The sequence below is a fragment of the Homo sapiens genome, chromosome 7 (assembly GCF_000001405.40).
Source record: "Homo sapiens chromosome 7, GRCh38.p14 Primary Assembly".
NCBI lineage: Eukaryota > Metazoa > Chordata > Mammalia > Primates > Hominidae > Homo > Homo sapiens.
In genome coordinates, this window is record NC_000007.14 from 83,013,403 (window position 1) to 83,039,034 (window position 25,632).

General features: G+C 35.9%; 1 protein-coding gene and 1 pseudogene across 7 annotated transcripts in view, besides 2 other annotated features; one reads left to right on the top strand and one right to left on the bottom strand.

Annotated features, from left to right (window-relative positions):
- Positions 1–25,632, bottom strand: part of PCLO (piccolo presynaptic cytomatrix protein) — a 408,873-nt gene that overhangs the window by 259,391 nt on the left and 123,850 nt on the right. The gene's annotated exons all lie outside the window — the stretch shown is intronic.
- On the top strand, positions 4,496–4,609 carry RNA5SP235 (RNA, 5S ribosomal pseudogene 235; annotated as a pseudogene).
- Positions 10,346–10,916: an enhancer, noted in NCBI's record as "H3K27ac-H3K4me1 hESC enhancer chr7:82653064-82653634 (GRCh37/hg19 assembly coordinates)". NCBI's record gives its function as "activates a minimal SCP1, AML or CMV promoter by ChIP-STARR-seq in primed H9 embryonic stem cells {active_cell/tissue: H9 hESC(primed)}" and the evidence as "EXISTENCE:reporter gene assay evidence [ECO:0000049][PMID:30033119]".
- Positions 10,917–11,485: an enhancer, noted in NCBI's record as "OCT4-NANOG-H3K27ac-H3K4me1 hESC enhancer chr7:82653635-82654203 (GRCh37/hg19 assembly coordinates)". NCBI's record gives its function as "activates a minimal SCP1, AML or CMV promoter by ChIP-STARR-seq in primed H9 embryonic stem cells {active_cell/tissue: H9 hESC(primed)}" and the evidence as "EXISTENCE:reporter gene assay evidence [ECO:0000049][PMID:30033119]".

Below are 25,632 nucleotides of genomic sequence, written 5' to 3' on the forward strand. Positions count from 1 at the left end.
GAGTTTCTTCATTCAAAGTAGTGATAATGCCGTTTTCTTCAGGGTTGTTGTCAAGATAAAATTAAAAGTGTGTATAGAAGTGCCTTGCATAGTGTCTACAACAAGGTGCACCTATTTACTTTTGGGTAAATAAACACTGGATGCTTCCCAGAGCTGGAGCTGAACGCTTGATGACAGAGATGCCAATCTAAATAAGGCACATCCCTGACCAGGAAGATTTCACAGTAGGGTAGCCCTGAAACTTCAGTTGGGTTCTAATCAATCCAGAGAAAAAGACTTTCAAACTTTCTTCTGAAAGAGACAATATATGGAAATGTAACTTCTGAGACTGCTTTCTTAGAGTCTTCTAATGGATTTAAAATGGAACGTTTGTGTGAATAAACAAAATTGCAAGTCACTTAGTGTTTTTGGAAATAGCACAATAATCATTAGAGAAAAATTATGAAAACTATATCAGATATTCATATTATGTGAAGTATTCTTTGTTATTAAACAAAACTTAGCTTTTGGATTTTATTGTTATTATTGTTCCTGTTTCCATTGTAGAATAGCAATTCTTTAAAAAATCTTGGTGTACCATTTTATACCACTAGCACCTGCAAAACAAGAGAAAACAAGCAACTGATGGTTTCATAAGGAGAGCAACCAGTATTTATTGAACATCCATTCTGGCTAGCTTTACACTTGTCACTGTGAGGAAAGACATTCATATTAAAAGATACTGTATGTATCTTCCCTTAAGATATGTACAGTCTTCATAGAAAGGCAAGAGACACACTTGAGATAGTTAACAAAACAAGTCAGTAAATGAACAAATGTCAGAATTAGTGATATAAACAACAGGTAAAGCCATGCCACAAAATGTCTTCAATTAAATATCTATCCTGTTCTACCGTCAAAATAAGCAGAAGTATTTCTCAGTTGCCAGGAATTTACAAGAATTATTAATTATGCATGTATATATGTAATGAATAAAGCACATGGGAGGATAAAAATAAATTCCCCTCTCGAATGCTGAGATAAGTAAGTCTGCCTGCAGAGGTTTAACTATAAAATCAATGCATAATGGATCAAAGAATATATTTCTCTGAAACTTCCAGTCCATAGCAAAATTTCCTGAAAGTAATACACCTAAAAAAAGAATGTGCAAGTCACAAGGGAGTAGAAAGGGATGGCTGTTCAACATTGCAATATAGAATGAAAAAAAAAAATCACAAAGTCACAAAATTAGCACTGCTCATCTAAGCACCAAGCAGGGGAGAGTCTTGGTTCCCAGACATTGACTATTCAGTTCCCTGAGGCAAGGCTGCACCATTTGAGGAGGATGTATCCGGCTACCTTTCCCTAAAGGCAGCAGACAGTCAAATTATGTAACTAACACCTTTGTCCTAATTTCCTGCTTAAAAGAGAAAATTTTGGATTGCCACAGAGCTTCCCAAGAACAAGGAAAATACTAGAAAAGGGATGGGAATATGTACTCCCTTTTTTTAGTCACATTTCTCACAATAAAAGTAATTATAGTAGGGAACACTTTTTGAGCAATTACTATGCGCCAGGTGCTAAGTGCTTTACCTGAAATAACCCTTTAAACTAACACAATAATCCTATCAGCTATGCGCAGCTACTGTCCCCATTTTTCAAATGAGGAAACTGAGGCACAGGGAGGTAACATTATTATTCAAGATGACACAGTCAGTAGACACTGAGATAAGATTCGGACCTAGGTAGCCTCACTCCAAAGTCCTTGATCATTTAAAAATATGACACTATACTGCTTTGCACAATAACATATTACTTGATATTTATAATTTATACAAAATAATTCCATGAGCCTGGTGGACATAAATCAGTATCTTTAAATGTCTCAACAGTTCTGGACCCTGTGAAAATCAAATTTCTGGGCTTTTAATGCTAGGTCTAGGTTTTTTTTTTTCTTTTAGTCACATTTTGTAGTGACCAGTCAGCCTCCTAGAGTGGGAGGGAATCTGACCACTACATGAGATTTCTTTTCTTTACTGTACACATATGCTCTCCCAAGTTCCATATATTTTCTTCTATTTCTATGTGATGTAGATAAAACATAATGCTTTGTATCTCTGAAATAAGATAGCATTTGTTTCAAATTAACACACATTTTGATAATAAAAAATTATCAATGAGTTGTGTTAAAAAGATACTGTGTCCCGATATAAACAGATGGCATATAATCTAAAACAAATTATCATTACAACTTTTTATTGTGAAAACAAGGCCAAATAAATGTAACATGTATTATCCTTAAATAAACCATTTTGAAGTAGCTAAATGACATATAGCCATTATTTTTCAGTTTCTTTAGCTGTATAATAGACTAGTATTTTACTACATTACAAATTTATTTCTTTTTTAAAGTTTGTTTTCTTCCTACAACATTACACGTTCTTAGAAAAGGTCCTAGAATGTTATCTTTTAATTCTATCCTAAAGAACATATGTTTTTTGCATAGTCAAAAGCCAAGAATAAAAATCTTGTCCTTAACACAACAGTTCTTCAAAGCATCTTTTTAGTTTTGAAATATCACAGATTCTTGTGTCTATTTCCTTAAAAAAAAATGCAAAAATTGGCAGCACTCAAGCACCAGCTCCTGAATTGTTTTCATGAACGTGCACAGCCTGGGTAGAAAATCAAACATCAGAAAGCAAGTGAGGTTCTTCCCACTAGCTCACTGAGTTCCTCATGTAAGAAAGGACATGGCACAGGGTTGGACACCCACTATCAGAGGCCCAACAACAGATGGACTGACTAAGAATTAGCAGTGATGCCAAAATCAGGAAATGTCAAAATAAAATTGAATAATGCACACAGGTTGAGTAAAATGGGGGAAAAAAAAACAACGTGTGCAAATAGTAACCTGAAATCAGAATCAATGTTGAAGGAAGCAAGATGTAAAATGTGTTTTCAATTACTGTAAGAAGAACTCAGTTCACATGTTAGGGTTATAACAAAGAATAAAGAGGGTCGCTTATATTTTGAGAGTGCTAAATGACTGTCATAGTTTCCTCATGTTGATTTAGGAATCAACGCTAAGAAACAAATATAGAAGTTTCAGCCATTAAAGAATGTGTCTTTTGACCTTGGCTTCAAAGGAAGGTTATTGTTTAGACAATTTGTGGGGTTAGGAGAGAGATCTACTCTAGAGACTAGAGATGACGTTTCAGAAATAGGTCTACTATAGAGAGCCCTGTATGCTAGGCTCATGAATATAGAAGTCACCCTTAAGGAAGAGAGACATCACTGGAGTATTCTGAATATAAAAGTACTATGTGTAACATGGGAAAAGTAAATATTATGAAAATTATTCTGAGTTATATGGTATAGATTGAAATAGGAAGAATGGACGCTGCGTACTGGGTTTAGCTGAAAAGTATGCTAGATATTGGGAGGTTGACAAAAACTTTACATATCAACTGTCCCTTTAGGCTGTGCAAAAAACTAGCACCCCCTAGGACAGATAGCAGAGCCAATGGCAATTCAAATGCCTTATGTAGTGCCTTAAACCATGTCAAGAATGATTAGCCTTCACTTAAGAATGGCTTAAAGTGGGGAAATGGGCTCTTTTTTCTTTGTGAATAAATTATGGCTCTATTCAGACTGAAAGAGAACAAGAAAGGGGAAAATCTTTCCAAAGACTTGGAAGAAAAATAGACCTCAAAAAATGATTTACTAAAGAATCAGAAGAAATAATTTGAAGATGATTTGGCAGTTTTAATATAATGTTGAAAAAATGCTTTAGATGAATTAGCAGTAGGAAGATCTGGAAATGAAAATATATCTTCTGTGAGGTAATGGAGATGGGTAAGAAATGAATAAAACAGAAGATAAATTCATAATGCAGTCATAGAATTAAACTTTGATATTAGAAAAGAACAGCATAAACATTAAAGAATTTTTTTTTGAAAACTTTACCAGGGTGTAATTGAATAGGACAAAGAAAGAAAAATGGAAATGGACAACTAAAGCACATATGATAAAAGAACTGTAATTCATTCTTGAGAACAAAACCAGAATAACTAGAACAGGAGTAATACTCAGGACACATTTGTCAATATCTTTCCTGAATGGAAAAAGAAACAGATCAAGCAGATCACATAGGTTCACTGAACTCCAAAGAAATCAATGCAAAGAGATAAACCTAGATTTATTATTTTAAATTTATTATTTTAGCATCCTTTTCCTAATGATATATTGAAATGTATATTACATATACAGCTACAAAATCATGTTACTCTTTTGCATCCTGAATAATAAAAAACTTGTTTACCCATTTTCAGAGAAAAGAGACATTTAAAAAAACTATAAACCACCCATTTGAAGTTCCTGTGTAATGACAGTGAAACACATTATACAACATATAAAGACTTCTGATATAATATTAACTATACAATTTTGATGGGAAAAATTATTTAACACATTTTAAATGGCTAAGAAAGAAGTTAAAATAAAAAACTCTGTGATTATTTATAGCCGTACCATCTTGAATTCACCTGATCTGATCTTGGCACCTAAGCAGGTTTGGGCCTGGTTAGTACTAGGATGAGAAATTACCTAGGACTGCTGGGTGCTGTAGGCTTGAAACAAACAAACAAAAAAGAATGGGAAGTTGTACTAATAAATGAATTAAATTTATTATCCATTTGAAAGAATGTTTTCCCAAAATACAAATAATTCCTTATAGAAGTATTATTTATAAAAACCTAAATTGGAACCAAATAAAGTGTTCCTCAATAAATGGTCACACATTGACATAAAATTTAGGTATCAAAATGTTTACAAAGTTATTTTAATGCCACAAAAAGCATTTAACACACAATCCTGTTAAGTGAAAAAGAGAAAATATAAACATATATAAAGAATGTTAGATACATACAGAATGTCAGAATAAATATGAGGCATAAAATAAATATGTTGTATTAAGAGTACTTTTATCTTCAGGGAATCAGTTGTGATACATTTCCTGCTTTTGTTTTGTTAAATAACTTTCTACACTTTCTAAATTTTCTACAATGAGCACTATTATAACCAAAAATATAGAGAGCTAAAATAATATCGAATTTTGATATTCTGTTGAAATAATTGTGTATTTTTATATTTAGGCTAGAATACATCTGACAAAATTATATAGTTTTATAATGCTCATAATGGTTATATTAAAATCATTATAAACTCCATTTCAATTAGAGACATACAAATCCCTTAAATATGTACATGTTAAATATTCTTAATATTTCAGGTATAATACCAACTTCCCTTTAATGTCCAGGAGGATTTTTACTGTATTCTGAGTTGGTGGTTGATTGCTTGCTTTGATTTTACACAAACACTTTTGAAACTCAATTTGGAAGCTTATTAACAAGGAGATAATGGGCATGCACTTAGTAAAGGATTCCACAGCATCAAAGAATTGAAAGCAAGTTTAAAGTATTCTGTGTTTTACACATTACCTTCTTTTGGATTTTGTTAGACTGCATATTAGAGGAAACCTGCTTTTTTAAAACATTGAGTTATGAAGAAAATACCTTTTTGGAAGATAAAATAAAAGAAGTGATAATGAAAGATGCATACTGGCATACAGAAAGGTATATGAGAACTTCCTGTTTGCTCACATCCTACAAAGAAAGTATAATTTATTATATTTTCCATAATATTCCTGAAATCAAGACATTTATACATGAGTGAGTGAATGAGTGAATGAATAAGTGAATGAAAATGTCAATGTAAATTTTGTGAATTGCTAAAAATGTTAAAGAATTTTTAGTTCCCTCAATATGTGTGTCTTGCTTTGCTTGTAAATAGTGTAGCTATTTTAGCTTAAGTGGACCAAATGTATTTTAAATCTTTTGCGGGGTAGAGTAAGGCAGGAAGAAGAACAGAAATAAGAACTTCTTTTGTTTTAATTTTAAACCTATCTAGGCAAAAAGTATGTAAAGCTTATATTTAATAATCTAATATATTGCATTTATTTTATTGTAACCTGTGGTCTCCCAATCATAAGTTTTTTTTTTAACAAAATGTATTTTAAGGAAATAATATAATTAATATAAATTTATACAAAGAGTATCCTGGTGGGTATATTTTCAAAAGTCAGATTTATTACCCTAGAAATGTTCATATGATGGGCAAGAGTTCCAGGTAAGACATGGAGGTCAACAGAGGCACTCTCAGCTAAATCAGCCATATAAAATCTTGATAAATTATATGAAGATACAAAGCTACTATTTAGGAGAACCAATGTCTCATTTTTATTATGTAAACATCATTTCTATGCATGAAGCACAAGTGGCCTTTATTACTCTTTATCTCTATGAAGCACTGTGTTGTTTTCCTATATCCCAAATCACTATTTCTACAGAATAAATTATGACTAGAGAATCCATCAGACTCTGGGGCAAAGACTGAAGCAGCGGCAAAGGAAATTTAAATACCAGAAAGATTCAATGTCTTATTTCAAAAGAGGCAGAGGAAGGAAGCACCTGAGTACAACTCTTCAAGCATTTCAAAGTCACTCTCTTAGTTAAATTTGCTTAGGAGATATGTAGCTCTCAGAAGTAAGAGTCTAAATGATGAAGAAGAATATAATAGTCTTGATTTCAAGTCTTCTTTGTAGTTAGCTGAATTCAAACTTTTTATTAGACCACCGACTTAACTTAGATGGAAAGCATTAGCATGGCCCTTTACACAAAAATTATTAAATAAATGGCACACATCTAAAGTAGACCTTTTATTACTTGGATCTAGTTTGACCCCTAAGTGTTTATATTATTAATTGCTCTGAGAGAAGTGTAGGAAACAAAAACTAGTTTTGTGTTGTTGATGCATGCTGTTACATTCCATCTTTCATGAGGGTGCAGAATTTGCTGACACTTGATGAAGCTTAACTAATGTATGGTGACTGCTATGGTTTGAATGTGACCTCTCCCAATTTAAGTGTGGAAACTTAATCCCTATTTGGTAGTAGTAAGAGGGGGGGCCTTTGAGGGAGTTATTAAATCATGCAGGATCCATCCTTATGAATGGGTTAGTGCCTTAGAAAAGAGCTGGAAGGAACTAGCTTACATCACTTTTACTCTCCCACTTTCTGCCATGTGAGGGCATAGCGTTTTGTCTCTTTTGGCCTCCTGCTCTGCCACGTAAGAACATAGCAAGAAGGTCTTACCAGACAAATAATGCTTGTGCCTTGATCTTGGACTTTCAATACTCCTGACCTATAAGAATAAACTTCTGTTGTTTATAAATTACCCAGTCTGTAGTAAAGTATTTTGTTATAGCAGCATTAATAAACTGAGAAGATAACCATAACATTGAGAAGAGCTATTAGTGAAGTGGTCCCTATAAATTTCGTAAAATTAATCAGGGAAGAAGGGAAGGGTAGAAATGAGAATAAACCAAGCTTGTGGTATATTTGGCATTAATCATTAGGTCAGCTTGCTCTCTGATCTGCTTTCTCATAGTTGTTTGTCACCTATTGTCTCAGAATCATGCAGATCCTACATGATAGTTTCCTTTAACTGCTCTATAGATAACAACTTGAGCATTGTGAAATGTTAAATTTTCCTTTTGAAATATTCTTTCAGGGCCTGCACACCAATGAAACTACTGATATCAGCTGTTCTGAAGAAACCCAGAAGAGACTGAATCACCAAAGAGTGCAGTTTCCACATCCTGATGATTTTATCATCCTTACTCTGACCAAACAGTGACCTCAATTTTACAGCCCCTCACACCCTATAATCATCCTAAAAACTTCAGCCCAGAACTCCTCAGGAGGATAATTTGAGGGTTTCTCCCATTTCCTTATTTGGCTGCCCTGTAATCATTAAACACTTTCTCTGCTGCAAACCCTGTTGTCTTGGTGTATTGGTCTGTTACTGTGCAGCAGGCATTATGAACCTAGCGGTCCTACAATATCAGAGTGTGAAACCACTGGCCAGAGAGTTCTGGATCTAAATTCTGATTTTCCCATTTATTGGCACTGTGATTTTGGACACATTATGTAAAGTTTATGGTCCTCAGTTTCTTATTTAGATAACAGAGATAAAAGGTTTTTTTTTAATCTGTTTAGAATGAAATGAGCAAACATAATGGAAGAACCAAGTACACTGTTGTAACACAATGTAAATCAATAGACATTGTCTCTCTCCTTCCCTCTTCCTTTCTTCCTTTCTCCCATGTGCATTTCCTGATATAATTACCAGCATATAGAAATAAAAACATATTTCAGTAAATTTGGAGCAAGGCCAACATCTATTAAAACAAGGTAAAACAATATTGTGATTAAGAGTAAAGCGTCTAATTCTGGGGAAGGTTCCTTCTAAGTGTTTTGACATATTTTATTTAATCTTCCCTGAGTTCAATACGGAAGCTAAATTACAAACTTTACCACAAGATAAGAAAGAGGCAAGAAAATAGAATTTTATAAGCATTTCTTAAAGACTGCTAAGGAATTGTAGTGTGTGTGGTATGAAGTTGTTCATATTGGCCTGCAAGCAAGCATTCTGGCAAGATAAAATTATATAAACAAATTTAAAAATATTCTTTTTGGATATGTTATGGTCTGAATGGTCTGAATGTATGTGTTCCTCCAAAAATTGTATGCCAAAATCTAACCCACAAAATGTGTTGGGGTTAAGAGGTAAGGCCTTTTGTGTAGTACTGAAGTGATGAGGGAGGAGCCCTCATGAATGGGATTAGTGCCCATATGAAAGAGGCCTGAAGGAGCTTGTTGGTCTCCTCCCCCATGAAAGGACACATAGAAGGTGCTGTCTATGAGGAATGGATGCACACCTGACACCAAGTCTGCTGGTGTCTTGATCTTAGACTTCCCAGCCTTCAAACTGAAAGCAATACATTTTTGTTGTTTATAAATTACCCAGTCTAAGGTATTTTATTAGAGCAGCCTGAATGAACTAAAACAGTATATAAAATAATTATTTGTAAATTGTATTTGCAAAATTTAGTTCAAAAGTAAAGTGACTTAAGCAAAGGTAGCTGGAAAATGATGGCAATATTTTAAAGGATCAAAAAATACCAGGACCCGATTCTTCAGGACAAGCTAGGAGTCTTCCCTTGAAGACCATAGGATTGTTTTTCGAATCACCACCTAATATTGTTGGCAAATCCTAGCCGAGATAAATATGAAAACAATATACACTAGCTAAACACTAAATGTGGGTTGAATGAATGAAACAAATAATTTACAATATTCCATATTTTCTTTCAAAATAGACACGCTGATCTTTTAGATTTATACAGTAGAAACTATTTTAGCTGCAGGTCTTTTTTTAAGCCTGCAATGAATGAGTTCTTTAAATTAGAAAAGGTTATAGCACATTTCTTTGCCTTGTGTAACAAACATGCAATAGCTCCTAAGTGCCTCTGGCGTAAAAAAAACTATCTGAAAGCCTGAATATATAGGATAAAGTTTTAACTTCTTCCCTCAGAACTTTATGGACAAAAGTTGAAACATAATAAGCTAATTCTAGATCTTGCAAATTATCCTGTTTTTATTTGATGTGAGATAAATATCATCTATAAATGCATATATCAAATCTGTACATGTATAATCAAATCTAAGATAAATATCATCTGTAAATGCATATATCAAATCTGTACATGTATAATCAAATCTAAGAACAGTTTTTCTTCAAAAACTGTTACCACTAGCTATTTTGACCTGCAAAATTTGTCAAAAAAAGTCAATTTTAAAACATAAAGTATTAATGGCATTTAAAAAGCTAAGAGTATATGGCAAAATGATTTTATGACTTCCAAATCTACTAATTGATTGGTTTTGCAGATCATAATGTAAAAATTGTAGCTGTATATAAACAATACAAAAAGTGACTATTCTTAAAAGTCAAACATTACAGAACTACTTATAATATTATGACTTTGATAATATGACAACCCAGAAACAATTCGAAATGAACACTCAATAGAGGTGGTTAAGACATGTTTAGAATTCAATAATGTATTCTAACAGCTTGCCCAGTTTATCCACATACTCTCCCATCTGAAATCTGATGTACATTGCCAAGTATATGACATTTTGATTGGGAATTAGAGAACCATCAAATACGACATAACTGAATTTGAACACTGATAGTTACATAAAAAATTCAAAACAGTTGTAAGTACATGTCCCTAAATGCTTTAGCACAAAAGACTGTGCCACTCAGTGTCAAGGCAAAGGATTACCTTTTCAGCAACAGTATTTTTGCTTGCCCCCCAAAAACTGAACATGTCTTGTATGGGTGCCATGAGTACGGAAAGCTTACGATTGTTTCAGATAAAATTTAATAGTTTCACTTTAAAAATTAAGTAAACATGTCTTATGCCCACCACAGTGCAGAAGAGGAGCTAAACTAATAACTCTCTAAATTATTAATGTCATTGATAGCAGAGAAGTGATGTATGGCAAATCTTATGGTTTCTCAATAAGTCTTGAAATTCCAATAGCCATTCCTAGAAACTTTATTTTTCTGGAATGCATACCAAACAAAATTGATAGAAATGCTGCCGTTGAGTAATTCCCAAGAGCTGACTCATCTTAACCATTCTTTCACTCAGTGATCATTTATTGCTTACTGGCTTTGGGCCAGTCACCATGCTAGGTGCTAATGATACATACTCAGATAAGAAAAGGCTCAGCTCACTCAAGGAGCCAAGATGGCCGAATAGGAACAGCTCCGGTCTACAGCTCCCAGCGTGAGCGACGCAGAAGACGGGTGATTTCTGCATTTCCATCTGAGGTACTGGGTTCATCTTACTAGGGAGTGCCAGACAGTGGGCTCAAGTCAGTGGGTGCGCGCACCATGCGCGAGCCGAAGCAGGGTGAGGCATTGCCTCACTCGGGAAGCGCAAGGGGTCACCGAGTTCCCTTTCCTAGTCAAAGAAAGGGGTGATGGACGGCACCTGGAAAATCGGGTCACTCCCACCCGAATACTGCACTTTTCCGATGAGCTTAAAAAACGGCGCAGCACAAGATTATATCCCGCACGTGGCTCGGAGGGTCCTACGCCCACGGAGTCTCGCTGATTGCTAGCACGGCAGTCTGAGATCAGACTGCAATGCAGCAGCCAGGCTGGGGGAGGGGCGCCCGCCATTGCCCAGGCTTGATTAGGTAAACAAAGCAGCCAGGAAGCTCGAACTGGGTGGAGCCCACCACAGCTCAAGGAGGCCTGCCTGCCTCTGTAGGCTCCACCTCTGGGGGCAGGACACAGACAAACAAAAAGACAGCAGTAACCTCTGCAGACTTAAATGTCCCTGTCAGACAGCTTTGAAGAGAGCAGTGGTTCTCCCAGTACGCAGCTGGAGATCTGAGAACGGGCAGACTGCCTCCTCAAGTGGGTCCCTGACTCCTGACCCCCGAGCAGCCTAACTGGGAGGCACCCCACAGCAGGGGTACACTGACACCTCACACGGCAGGGTACTCCAACACCTGCAGCTGAGGGTCCTGTCTGTTAGAAGGAAAACTAACAAACAGAAAGGACATCTACACCAAAAACCCATCTGTACATCACCATCATCAAAGACCAAAAGTAGATAAAACCACAAAGATGGGGAAAAAACAGAACAGAAAAACTGGAAACTCTAAAAAGTAGAGCGCCTCTCCTCCTCCAAAGGAACGCAGTTCCTCACCAGCAACGGAACAAAGCTGGACGGAGAACGACTTTGACGAGCTGAGAGAAGAAGGCTTCAGACGATCAAATTACTCTGAGCTACGGGAGGATATTCAAACCAAAGGCAAAGAAGTTGAAAACTTTGAAAAAAATTTAGAAGAATGTAGAATTAGAATAACCAATACAGAGAAGTGCTTAAAGGAGCTGATGGAGCTGAAAACCAAGGCTCGAGAACTACGTGAAGAATGCAGAAGCCTCAGGAGCCGATGCGATCAACTGGAAGAAAGGGTATCAGCAATGGAAGATGAAATGAATGAAATGAAGCGAGAAGGGAAGTTTAGAGAAAAAAGAATAAAAAGAAATGAGCAAAGCCTCCAAGAAATATGGGACTATGTGAAAAGACCAAATCTACATCTGATTGGTGTACCTGAAAGTGATGGGGAGAATGGAACCAAGTTGGAAAACACTCTGCAGGATATTATCCAGGAGAACTTCCCCAATCTAACAAGGCAGGCCACCGTTCAGATTCAGGAAATACAGAGAATGCCACAAAGATACTCCTCGAGAAGAGCAACTCCAAGACACATAATTGTCAGATTCACCAAAGTTGAAATGAAGGAAAAAATGTTAAGGGCAGCCAGAGAGAAAGGTTGGGTTACCCTCAAAGGGAAGCCCATCAGACTAACAGCGGATCTCTTGGCAGAAACCCTACAAGCCAGAAGAGAGTGGGGGCCAATATTCAACATTCTCAAAGAAAAGAATTTTCAACCCAGAATTTCATATCCAGCCAAACTAAGCTTCATAAGTGAAGGAGAAATAAAATACTTTACAGACAAGCAAATGCTGAGAGATTTTGTCACCACCAGGCCTGCACTAAAAGAGCTCCTGAAGGAAGCGCTAAACATGGAAAGGAACAACCGGTACCAGCCGCGGCAAAATCATGCCAAAATGTAAAGACCATCGAGACTAGGAAGAAACTGCATCAACTAACGAGCAAAATCACCAGCTAACATCATCATGACAGGATCAAATTCACACATAACAATATTAACTTTAAATGTAAATGGACTAAATGCTCCAATTAAAAGACACAGACTGGCAAATTGGATAAGGAGTCAAGACCCATCAGTGTGCTGTATTCAGGAAACCCATCTCACGTGCAGAGACACACATAGGCTCAAAATAAAAGGATGGAGGAAGATCCACCAAGCAAATGGAAAACAAAAAAAGGCAGGGGTTGCAATCCCAGTCTCTGATAAAACAGACTTTAAACCAACAAAGATCAAAAGAGACAAAGAAGGCCATTACATAATGGTAAAGGGATCAATTCAACAAGAAGAGCTAACTATCCTAAATATATATGCACCCAATACAGGAGGACCCAGATTCATAAAGCAAGTCCTGAGTGACCTACAAAGAGACTTAAACTCCCACACATTAATAATGGGAGACTTTAACACCCCACTGTCAACATTAGACAGATCAACGAGACAGAAAGTCAACAAGGATACCCAGGAATTGAACTCAGCTCTGCACCAAGCAGACCTAATAGACATCTACAGAACTCTCCACCCCAAATCAACAGAATATACACTTTTTTCAGCACCACACCACACCTATTCCAAAATTGACCACATACTTGGAAGTAAAGCTCTCCTCAGCAAATGTAAAAGAACACAAATTATAACAAACTGTCTCTCAGACCACAGTGCAATCAAACTAGAACTCAGGATTAAGAATCTCACTCAAAACCGCTCAACTACATGGAAACTGAACAACCTGCTCCTGAATGACTACTGGGTACATAACGAAATGAAGGCAGAAATAAAGATGTTCTTTGAAACCAACCAGAACAAAGACACAACATACCAGAATCTCTGGGACGCATTCAAAGCAGTGTGTAGAGGGAAATTTATAGCACTAAATGCCCACAAGAGAAAGCAGGAAAGATCCAAAATTGACACCCTAACATCACAATTAAAAGAACTAGAAAAGCAAGAGCAAACACATTCAAAAGCTAGCAGAAGGCAAGAAATAACTAAAATCAGAGCAGAACTGAAGGAAATAGAGACACAAAAAACCCTTCAAAAAATTAATGAATCCAGGAGCTGGTTTTTTGAAAGGATCAACAAAATTGATAGACTGCTAGCAAGACTAATAAAGAAAAAAAGAGAGAAGAATCAAATAGACGCAATAAAAAATGAAAAAGGGGATATCACCACCGATCCCACAGAAATACAAACTACCATCAGAGAATACTACAAACACCTCTACGCAAATAATCTAGAAAATCTAGAAGAAATGGATAAATTCCTCGACACGTACACTCTCCCAAGACTAAACCAGGAAGAAGTTGAATCTCTGAATAGACCAATAACAGGATCTGAAATTGTGGCAATAATCAATAGCTTACCAACCAAAAAGAGTCCAGGACCAGATAGATTCACAGCCAAATTCTACCAGAGGTACAAGGAGGAACTGGTACCATTCCTTCTGAAACTATTCCAATCAACAGAAAAAGAGGGAATCCTCCCTAACTCATTTTATGAGGCCAGCATCATCCTGATACCAAAGCCTGGCAGAGACACAACCAAAAAAGAGAATTTTAGACCAATATCCTTGATGAACATTGATGCAAAAATCCTCAATAAAATACTGGCAAAACGAATCCAGCAGCACATCAAAAAGCTTATCCACCATGATCAAGTGGGCTTCATCCCTGGGATGCAAGGCTGGTTCAATATATGTAAATCAATAAATGTAATCCAGCATATAAACAGAGCCAAAGACAAAAACCACATGATTATCTCAATAGATGCAGAAAAGGCCTTTGACAAAATTCAACAACCCTTCATGCTAAAAACTCTCAATAAATTAGGTATTGATGGGACATATTTCAAAATAATAAGAGCTATCTATGACAAACCCACAGCCAATATCATACTGAATGGGCAAAAACTGGAAGCATTCCCTTTGAAAACTGGCACAAGACAGGGATGCCCTCTCTCACCACTCCTATTCAACATAGTGTTGGAAGTTCTGGCCAGGGCAATTTGGCAGGAGAAGGAAATAAAGGGTATTCAATTAAGAAAAGAGGAAGTCAAATTGTCCCTCTTTGCAGATGACATGATTGTATATCTAGAAAACCCCATTGTCTCAGCCCAAAATCTCCTTAAGCTGATAAGCAACTTCAACAAAGTCTCAGGATACAAAATCAATGTACAAAAATCACAAGCATTCTTATACACCAACAACAGACAAACAGAGAGCCAAATCATGAGTGAACTCCCATTCACAATTGCTTCAAGGAGAATAAAATACCTAGGAATCCAACTTACAAGGGATGTGAAGGACCTCTTCAAGGAGAACTACAAACCACTGCTCAAGGAAATAAAAGAGGATACAAACAAATGGAAGAACATTCCATGCTCATGGGTAGGAAGAATCAATATCGTGAAAATGGCCATACTGCCCAAGGTAATTTACAGATTCAATGCCATCCCCATCAAGCTACCAATGACTTTCTTCACAGAATTGGAAAAAACTACTTTAAAGTTCATATGGAACCAAAAAAGAGCCCGCATCGCCAAGTCAATCCTAAGCCAAAAGAACAAAGCTGGAGGCATCACGCTACCTGACTTCAAACTATACCACAAGGCTACAGTAACCAAAACAGCATGGTACTGGTACCAAAACAGAGATATAGATCAATGGAACAGAACAGAGCCCTCAGAAATAACGCCGCGTATCTACAACTATCTGATCTTTGACAAACCTGAGAAAAACAAGCAATGGGTAACGGATTCCCTATTTAATAAATGGTGCTGGGAAAACTGGCTAGCCATATGTAGAAAGCTGAAACTGGATCCCTTCCTTACACCTTATACAAAAATCAATTCAAGATGGATTAAAGACTTAAACGTCAGACCTAAAACCATAAAAACCCTAGAAGAAAACCTAGGCAATACCATTCAGGACTTAGGCATGGGCAAGGACTTCATGTCTAAAACACCAAAAGCAACAGCAACAGAAGAAAAAATTGACAAATGGGATATAATTAAACTAAAGAGCTTCTGCACAGCAAAAGAAACTACCATCAGAGTGAACAGGCAACCTACAAAATGGGAGAAAATTTTCGCAACTTACTCATCTGACAAAGGGCTAATATCCAGAATCTACAATGAACTCAAACAAATTTACAAGAAAAAAAAAAAAACAACCCCATCAAAAAGTGGGCAAAGGACATGAGCAGACACTTCTCAAAAGAAGACATTTATGCAGCAAAAAAACACATGAAAAAATGCTCATCATCACTGGCCATCAGAGAAATGCAAATCAAAACCACAATGAGATACCATCTCACACCAGTTAGAATGGCAATCATTAAAAAGTCAGGAAACAACAGGTGCTGGAGAGGATGTGGAGAAATAGGAACACTTTTACACTGTTGGTGGGACTGTAAACTAGTTCAACCATTGTGGAAGTCAGTGTGGCGATTCCTCAGGGATCTAGAACTAGAAATACCATTTGACCCAGCCATCCCATTACTGGGTATATACCCAAAGGACTATAAATCATGCTGCTATAAAGACACATGCACACGTATGTTTACTGCGGCATTATTCACAATAGCAAAGACTTGGAACCAACCCAAATGTCCAACAATGATAGACTGGATTAAGAAAATGTGGCACATATACACCATGGAATACTATGCAGCCATAAAAAATGATGAGTTCACGTCCTTTGTAGGGACATGGATGAAATTGGAAATCATCATTCTCAGTAAACTATCGCAAGAACAAAAAACCAAACACCGCATATTCTCTCTCATAGGTGGGAATTGAACAATGAGATCACATGGACACAGGAAGGGGAACACCACACTCTGGGGACTGTTGTGGGGTGGGGGGAGGGGGGAGGGATAGCATTGGGAGATATACCTAATGCTAGATGACGAGTTAGTGGGTGCAGCGCACCAGCATGGCACATGTATACATATGTAACTAATCCGCACAATGTGCACATGTACCCTAAAACTTAAAGTATAATAATAAAAGAAAAAAAAAAAAAAAGAAAAGAAAAGACTCAGCTCAGCTTTAAGAGCCTCACATTTGATGGAGGGAGAGAGACATTTAAAACTCTAATAAAATTTGATAAGTCCAACAGTTGGGATCTACACATCACACTGTGTATAGAGCAGAGAGCTACAAATAATTAATCTTGTCTCAATATTTAAAAAAACTCTACAGGGGATATCCCTTCGATCTGGAACTTGAATAAATGCTAGGATTTCATCAAAATTAGAGGACAGTAGATATATTAGACATATATAACAGCATGAGCAAAGGCATGGTCAAGTTAGAACATCTTGAATGGTCTATGAAGTGTCTTCTAAAAACAATAGTAAATGACTCTACCCTTAATCTTTTCAACTCCTATCTCTGTAGCCCTTTTGTGTCTGTTCAATTTATACTGCAGTATATCCTAAGAGAAAGGACCATGCAGCAGGGCTGGAATTACAGTGATGAAAATGAGGAACACACCCCAGAAGCAAATTTTAAGGTTGCAAGGAAAAGATGAGAAGCCATGTAATATTGTTTTAAATCAAAATTAGTGCAGAAATCTATGATGAATAAAATATAAAAATACTAAATAAAGACATGCTGCAATAACCTGGCAGTGTTGCAAAATGGGAGGAGGCCTTTCAATCAGCCCAAAGGTTTCTAGCCTGCACAGCCTCTTCAAGTACCCTTCAGTCCTTACAATGGCTGGGTTTATAGAGACTGAGAATTGGGAGTAAAGACCTTTATGCAAACAATCACTTTTTTATCGTAAAACTTTTATTAATTTTTGTACTTGGTTCAAAAAATAGGATATTTTGATAAATATCAATAGTGGATGAATTATTTCTTTTTCCTCAGGCTCTGATATGGTGTCACAAGGCAGGCACTGCACTGCAAGATTCCTTGGCCACCTCTGTTTTTAACTTACTCTAGGATCTGGGAGGAGTCACTTAGCTCCCCTGAGCTGCACTGTTCATACTCATTAGTAAATTAGGGATAACAGCAACTACTCTAACAGCAGATCTATTGTGAGCAAAGTAATTTGAAAGAGTTTATAAATTTAACCTACAGCTCAAACTATATCAATTTAACAATTTCCGATCAGTTCAAACTCAGAGACATCATATGCATGTTCCAAACATCCTCTTCCAAATACCACACTATTAGAAATAGGCAACGGTACTTTTCCTGCAGTAGCTTGGTGTTCTGAGCATGGAAATGTATGTTTTACTACAAGACTGAAACGATCTGGAGTCCATAAAAAATTATATCAAATATCTTGGAATTTTTTATATTCAGAGCAAAAGCTATCATTTAAAATTTTACTCCAGGTATGCCCCCTTGTTAGCTTCTATATCCTGGATGTAATATGGGTACCATTTCATCTCCTCATTGATAAAATACCATGTTACACACAAAAAAGGGAAATGGTAAAATTAAGATTCAGTGTCTGAACAAATGGAAAGACATTCAGAACAGTCTTCAGAATCAGATTCTAAGTGCACCTGTAATGATTGACTTTCTTCTCTAAGAATCACCAAGTAACTAAATAAGGAATGAAAAGCTACATTAAGAAATGAGTCTTAATCTCTCTCTCTCTCTCTCTCTCCCTCCCCCTCCCTCTCTCTCTCTCACACACACACGCTCACACACACAAACACATAATCACTGACCTTTATTTCAGACCCACTAGAAAGAATAAGTCCCTCAAAGATAATCACTAACATTAGGTAGGCTTAATAACACAATTTAGTCTTTTTAATAATTCCCCTTACTTTACTTAAACCCTTTTCAGGACTACCCTTGATATGTCTGCATTTGCTAAACTCCTAGGCATTTTAGGATTGCATTTGATTAGCTACTTTCTTCAATTTAGATGTAGGACTGGTTTTGTAGTTGTCTCAATAGTATGAGGTTTTCACTTCAATTTTTCTTGCTATACTAAAATTGTGACTGTCATCTTAAGGCATGCAGTAGGACTAAGTTGTAACTTCTCAGCCCATGTCCCTGGTATCCCTTTGCCTATCAAACACTCAGTCCTATTCATCTTTCCATCTGGCTTCTCTTTTCACTCTACAAATCTTATTAGCCTTTTGAGTCACCCTGAGTATCTCAAATGACAAATTCATTATCCTTTAAGTATTGCACACTTTACTAGCACTCCTTCTTAAAACTCTATCCTGCTTCACCTTCTAATGCAACAGCACAAGGCTCCCTCTTCATCATGGATACATTTTCATTCTCCATTCCCTCACTCCCCTCACTCCCCTCACTCCCTCCCTCCCTCCTTCCCTTCCTTCCCTTCCTTCCCTTCCCTCCCTTGCCTCCCTTCCCTCCCTTCCCTCCCTTCCTTCCCTTCCTTCCCTTGCTTCACTTCCTTCCTTCCCTTTCTATTTTAACATTGGTGTCTCTGATTGTATTCTCTTGCTATCTTTTTCTTCTCTGCCCTGAGCTCAGATATCTTCTGAATGCCAGATAGAATGTTTTTATTTGATACAATTTCCTGAAGGGCTACTAGAAATTTTTGATTACCATGCCCACAATGAAACTCTTTTCATTTATGGTGTCACCATTTTCAAAATCACCCAGTCATAAAACACTGGCATTATTTTTGACTACTCTCTTCTTTTCTTTATACCCCACATCCAAAAATCTAGAGTTGAATCATGAAGTTTTAATACCTGTAATACTCCAAATGTCTGAGATGCAGGTGGGTGACAATGAAGTACAAGGTTGATATGGTTTGGCTGTGTGTTCCCACCCAAATCGCATCTCATCTCGAATTGTAATCCCCACATGTGGAGGGAAGGGACCTGGGGAGAAGTGATTGGATCATGGAGGTGATTTCCTCCATGCTGTTCTTGTGATAGTGAGGGAGTTCTGATGAGATCTGGTTGTTTGATAAGTGTTTGGCATTTTCGCCTACTCACCCTCTCTCTCTCCTACCACCATGTAAGAAGGTTGCTGCTTCCCCTTCACCCTTCTGTCAGATTATAAGTTTCCTGAGATCTCCCCAGCCATGAGGAACTGTGAGTCAATTAAACCTCTTTTGTTTAAAAATTACCCAATCTCAGGTTGTATCTTTATAGCAGTGTAGAAATGGACTAATAGAAGGGTTAAAGGCAATCAGACTGATTTGATTAGGAATACCCATCTAACTTCTCACTACTTGACATTAGCAGTTTACTTTCTTATCTAAAAATGATAGTTATATTACCTAGTAGATTACTGTAAATATTAAACACAATAAGATAATATTTGGGAAGCTGAACACCTGGTATCTGTTATTTGTATGGCATGTCTCTACATGTAACCTATTCCTCAAGTAGGACTACCTAAATGGTCCTATTTACATATATACCTGCCTTTTCTTTAGCCTAGAATATCCTTCCATCCCACACCATCTAGATCCTACCTATCATTCAATATCCATCTTAGATATTCCCTCCTCCATGAAGCCTTTGCTGATAAACTAACCTTTCTATATTAGTGCAATCTTTCTTCCTTTCAGCACATATATTACTTTGTATTCTCTTTCTTCCTTTCATCACATATATTGCAATCTTTCTTCCTTTCATCACACTATTACTTTCTTAGACATATATTAGTTTGTACTACTTGTACCACTTTGTACTACTCTTTATCTCCTGTATTTTTCAATATTTTTAAATTTGGTAGACATGTTTCTCACCACCATATTTCCCAAGACTTGACTGCTACAATGCTATTGCTCACCCAGGCTATTGTTAATTTTACCATATTCCTTCTCCCTTTATTTGAAGTCATTTAATTCATTCCAAGATAAAATGGTAACTTCCTTGGAAAACAGTATCATATTTATCTTTTTCTTGTCTTCAGTGCGTAATACTTAGCCTTATTCAAGTAATGCTCAATATATTTTTGTTAAATAACTTTAAATTGGAGAATTATAAATTGAGAATGAGTCCAATACAGTTAAGAAAAAAATCAAAAACATCTCTTACTATAATCTCTTGTTCCATTCCATGACAGAAAATCAGAAAACACATAGAAAAATAATAACTCAATTTAACTTAGACCCATGCTGTTTCCTTTTATTCCTTTTTTGTTTTGTTTTGTTTTGTGACAGGTTGGATTGCAGTAGCATGATCTCAGATCACTGTAACCTCTGCCTCCCAGGTTCAAGAAATACTCGTGCCTCAACCTCCTGAGTAGCTGGGAATACAGGCATGCACAACCACACCGAGCTACTTTTTATATTTTTAGAAAAGATGGGGTTTTGCCATGTTGGCCAAGCTGGTCTTGAACTCCTGGCCTCAAGCGATCTGCTTGCCTCGGCCCCCACAGTGCTGGGATTATAGGCAAAAGCCATCACGCCTGGTCCCATGCTGTTTTCTATAAAATACTTTTGCGGAAAAAAAGAGTCAAATGTAACTTTCCAATAATGATGCAGAATGTTTTAGAAAAGCAAATTACTACTCATCTCCTTAATCAAGGACTGCTTCTTCTAGCCAAGTCTCTCACATATTGGATGTATCAATCTAATCTTGTGCACATGCTGTATTGAAATCATTGTTCAACATTGACCATATTTGTGATTTAACTATATAAATTTTCTATTGTGCTTAATCTGGCAGTATCTACACTTTATTTTCTAGTCATTATGTGACAAGAATTTAAAGCTGAGGCAATCATACCAAACTTGTTCATTGATTCTATTTGCAACAGAGAAAAATGCACTGAATGTTCTGTCATGAGTGACTCCTAAGTAAGACCTTGACTACCTTGTACGCTTGGTGATAGTTTTACCTCAAATAAGTAAATGTTTCTTACTGCTGAGGATAACGCTCCAACTGGTCTCTGTCAGTCAATTATAATACAAAATATTTTTCAAATTTATGTGTGTATTTCTGTTTCTTCAAAATGTATAACTCTTTAGGTGATATAATATCCATTTGAGTGCTCTGGCAGCAAGTCTTTAATTCTTAAAGTCCCATTATTGTCTCCTGCAAGTCTCTAATCATCCAGCATTCACAAGCACTAGCCATGTCACATTTGCTTCTGTTCCTGCTTCATTCCTATAAATTGGTTCCAATAACCTGGCTTTTGCACTATTGTTTATGAAACACCCATCAAGAAATAATATACCAAAATTGGAGACAGGCAAAATCAATTACTGCATGTTCTTTCAGAGTAGTTCAAGGTTGTATCTTTTATTAACTTTCTATTGACTAGGCTATTTTACAACTTTGTAGGGCTAGAGGTTATCTTGCAGAAAACTGTTATAAATTCAGATTTCATATCTGACAGTTATGAAAATAATCCTTGTCTCTACTAATGTAAATAAATGTCCACAAGAAATGCAATTGGTTTTAACCTAATAAAAAAAAGATAATTCCTAACATTACAGTGTATTGCTCTGTAGTATATTAACTGGTTTTATGTCCATTAGAAACTCATTTCAGCATTCTTGACAGATTATATTAATCTCTGTACTCTAAGACCTTTTTTTAAAATCCAGTCTTGATCTTACTAGTTACTTTATTAATCAATGAATTAAAAACATCTTTGACGCGTTTATTTTATATTGTATGAGTCATTTTTTAACCTTTTGAAAATTATAATTCAGAAATACCAATTCTTATGCTAAAATTTTTATAATATAAAAAGTATAATGTGAATTAACATCTATTCTGTCCTTACTTTGTGACAGTCTTATTCTGAGTATTCTCTCTGATTCATTTACTTTTCACAGTAACTCCACAAGGTTAGCCCCGTTTTTATTACACTACATTAGAGAGTGAAAAATTGAGGCACAAGCACTCTAGCTTGCTGAAGGCTATAAGGCTCTATCTGAATCCAAAATATTTTTATTTGAGTCTATACATTACCTTCTTAAATACTGTATATCTTTATGTTTCCAAGCCCATGCCTTCCTATAAAATATGTTAGTTTATTTGGGACTCAGGTTCTGTCCTGATCCCTTTCCTTCTAAGATTTGTTAACTGTTAAATCTTACTGCTTCCTAAGCAATGCCTAATGTCCAATCTGTGAGGTGACCCTCAAATCTTACAAAACACCTTCTTAGCACAGTGGTTCTCAAACTTGACTGTGCATCAGAATCACCTAGAAGGCTTGATAAAATAGATTGTTGAGCTCCATTCCCCAGAGTTTCTGATTCGGTTAGTAGGTCTGGGTGGGGAAAGAGAATTTGGAATTCTAAGAATTTCCCAAGTGATGCTGATGCCTCACCTCTGGAGATCACACTTTGAAAACGACTGTCTTAGTAAAGATTGCTAAAGCTCTTGCAGATTGATTGCTAGTTAATCTAGATTAGGCTATCATCTATTTCTTGATCACAACACTTATATTGCTCACCTGATTTCTCTGGATGAGTCTAACCTTTCTTTTGCCTGCTTTTCTTATCGTAGAAGCAGTTGTCCTCATGTATGTTATTATTAATATAACCTATAGATGCAAATATCCTGAAATGTGTTGGGGGGTGACCTCAGTATAGCAACTGATTCTCCCAAAGGCTCCAGTACATAGCCCTATTTGTCACATCTGCTATAGTCTGAATATAGAACAGTAAACATTTTGGGGGATGGGGTGAGAAGTTATTTGGAATATCAACTTTTTATTGTTATAATGTCTGCAAATTATTACCCTTGACGACCCTACTAATTACATTGCTCCTACCGCCACTACTATTGTAATTGCTTCCATCTGACCCCTACTGATTCCTAGCTCCAAGGCTGCTTCTTCATGACCAAATAGCTTCATGGACATTGTGTCCTTTTTTCAAAGTTACTTCCTGGTCTAGCATTAATGATTTATGGGATCAATGTAATAATGGTTAAACAGTGATAAGAAATGAAGAAGTTAACAGATTTGACATTCAACTTTCTGATGCTATTCCACCAGTGTTGAACAAAGGTACAAGAAAAATAACTATTCATTTTGGGAAAAACAGGAGTAGAAACATAAAAGATGAAGAAATACTGCTTATTATTTATTGACAAAACAAACCTGCTTTAGCAGTTAAGCAAACCAGTTTGTGATCATACTATAGCAGGTTGCTAGGCTACTTTATGTCTAATGCACCAATATTGACAGAGGTCTGGCTTGCAAAAATGCTTTTAAACAGTTTTCTATAGGAGAATCAGCAGAGACTAAAGAAAAATACAATAAATAATAACAAAACAGCGTTCTGCCATATCATTTTCTTATTAGATTTTCCAATAGCCACCCAGCCTATCACCATATCATAAAACCAAAGTATAAGACGCTCTATAAGTGTTAATATATTTAGAATAATAGTTGGTTTTAAAGGTTTGTTAGATTTTTACTGGAGCTTGCAAGTTAGAGAATCTGTTTGAAGAACATCAGAAAGTGTACTCTACTTTTTTCAGATGGCTAGCTAGAAGGAATTAACACTGAGCTTTGGTCAGGAATAGACTAAAAGGAAGGAAGCAGTTATTTTTCAGATAATAACCTTACTCATACCTTTCATCAACAGAATGCCAATTCTGACTTTTTTTTTATAGTAAATAAAGAAGAAGAGGCATATCCTGGGGCTCTAGCTTCCTCTGGCTTCTCTCATATTATCCTAAAATATCTTCCAGAAAAACTCAAAATTGAGTGGCAATTGTGAAAATGATGTCACACTATTTAATTCCATTTTAAAATTCTCCAACTTATAATTCACAAGTTATAAATCTTTTAAAATCTACATATAATGACTGTTTTCACTGGGACCATTGAAGGATAAAGTGGATATTAACTGCTGCCATATAATGTTGGTTCTCTTTACAATTGGTTAACTTGTGAATTAAATTTTGAGTAAGTTTCCCGTGTTAGTTGTGTGGAGGTGTAAGGAGGAGCTTATATATATATATATATATATATATATATATATATATATATTTATATATTTATATATATATCTTTATATATATATTTATATATTTATATATATATCTTTATATATATATATTTATATATGTATATATATGCACACACACACATACACACACTCATATATACACATACATATATGTATATACACACATACATATAACACATATCCATACACACACATATATGTGTTTAATATACACACATACCATAAATTCACACATTTAAAATGTACAATTTAATGGTTTTTAGTATATTCACAGACATGTGCAACCATCACCACTGTCAACTTTAGAATTATTTTTATAACTTCAAAATAAGCTCCATAACGTTTAGTTATCACCCTCAGCCATTTCACATATTCCCCATCCTCCTTCATCCCTAAGCAACCACTAATCTGCTTTCTATCTCTATAAATTTGATAATGCTGGACATTTTATATGAATTGAATTATAAAATATGCAGTCTTTTTTGTTGGTAGCTTCATTTGTGTGGCATAATGTTTTAAAGATTCACCTATGCTTTTGCTTGTGTAAGTACTTTATTCATATTTAGGGCTAACATTTCATTGTATGAACAGATCACACTTTGTTCATCCATTCATCCATTGATGAGTACTTGGGTTGTTTCCACCTTTTAGCTATCATGAATAGTGCTACTAAAAACATTCATTTGCAAGATTTGTGTGAACATGTTACTTTATGTCTCTTCGGTATCTATGTAGGAGTAAAATTGCTGGGTCATATGGTAACTCTACGTTTAGTCATTTGAAGAACTGTCAGATGGTTTTTCGAAGTGGCTGCACCAATTTATATTCACACCAGCTGTATATTAGGGATGGGTTTGATTTCTCTAGATCCTCACCAATATTTGTTCTTTTCTGAGTTTTTTATTCTAGCCATTCTAGTGAGTATGAAGTAGTATCTCACTGTGGTTTTGATTTGTATTTCCCTGATGACTAAAGATGTCAAGCATGCATTTATTGGCCATTTGTTTATTTTCTCTGGAGAAAT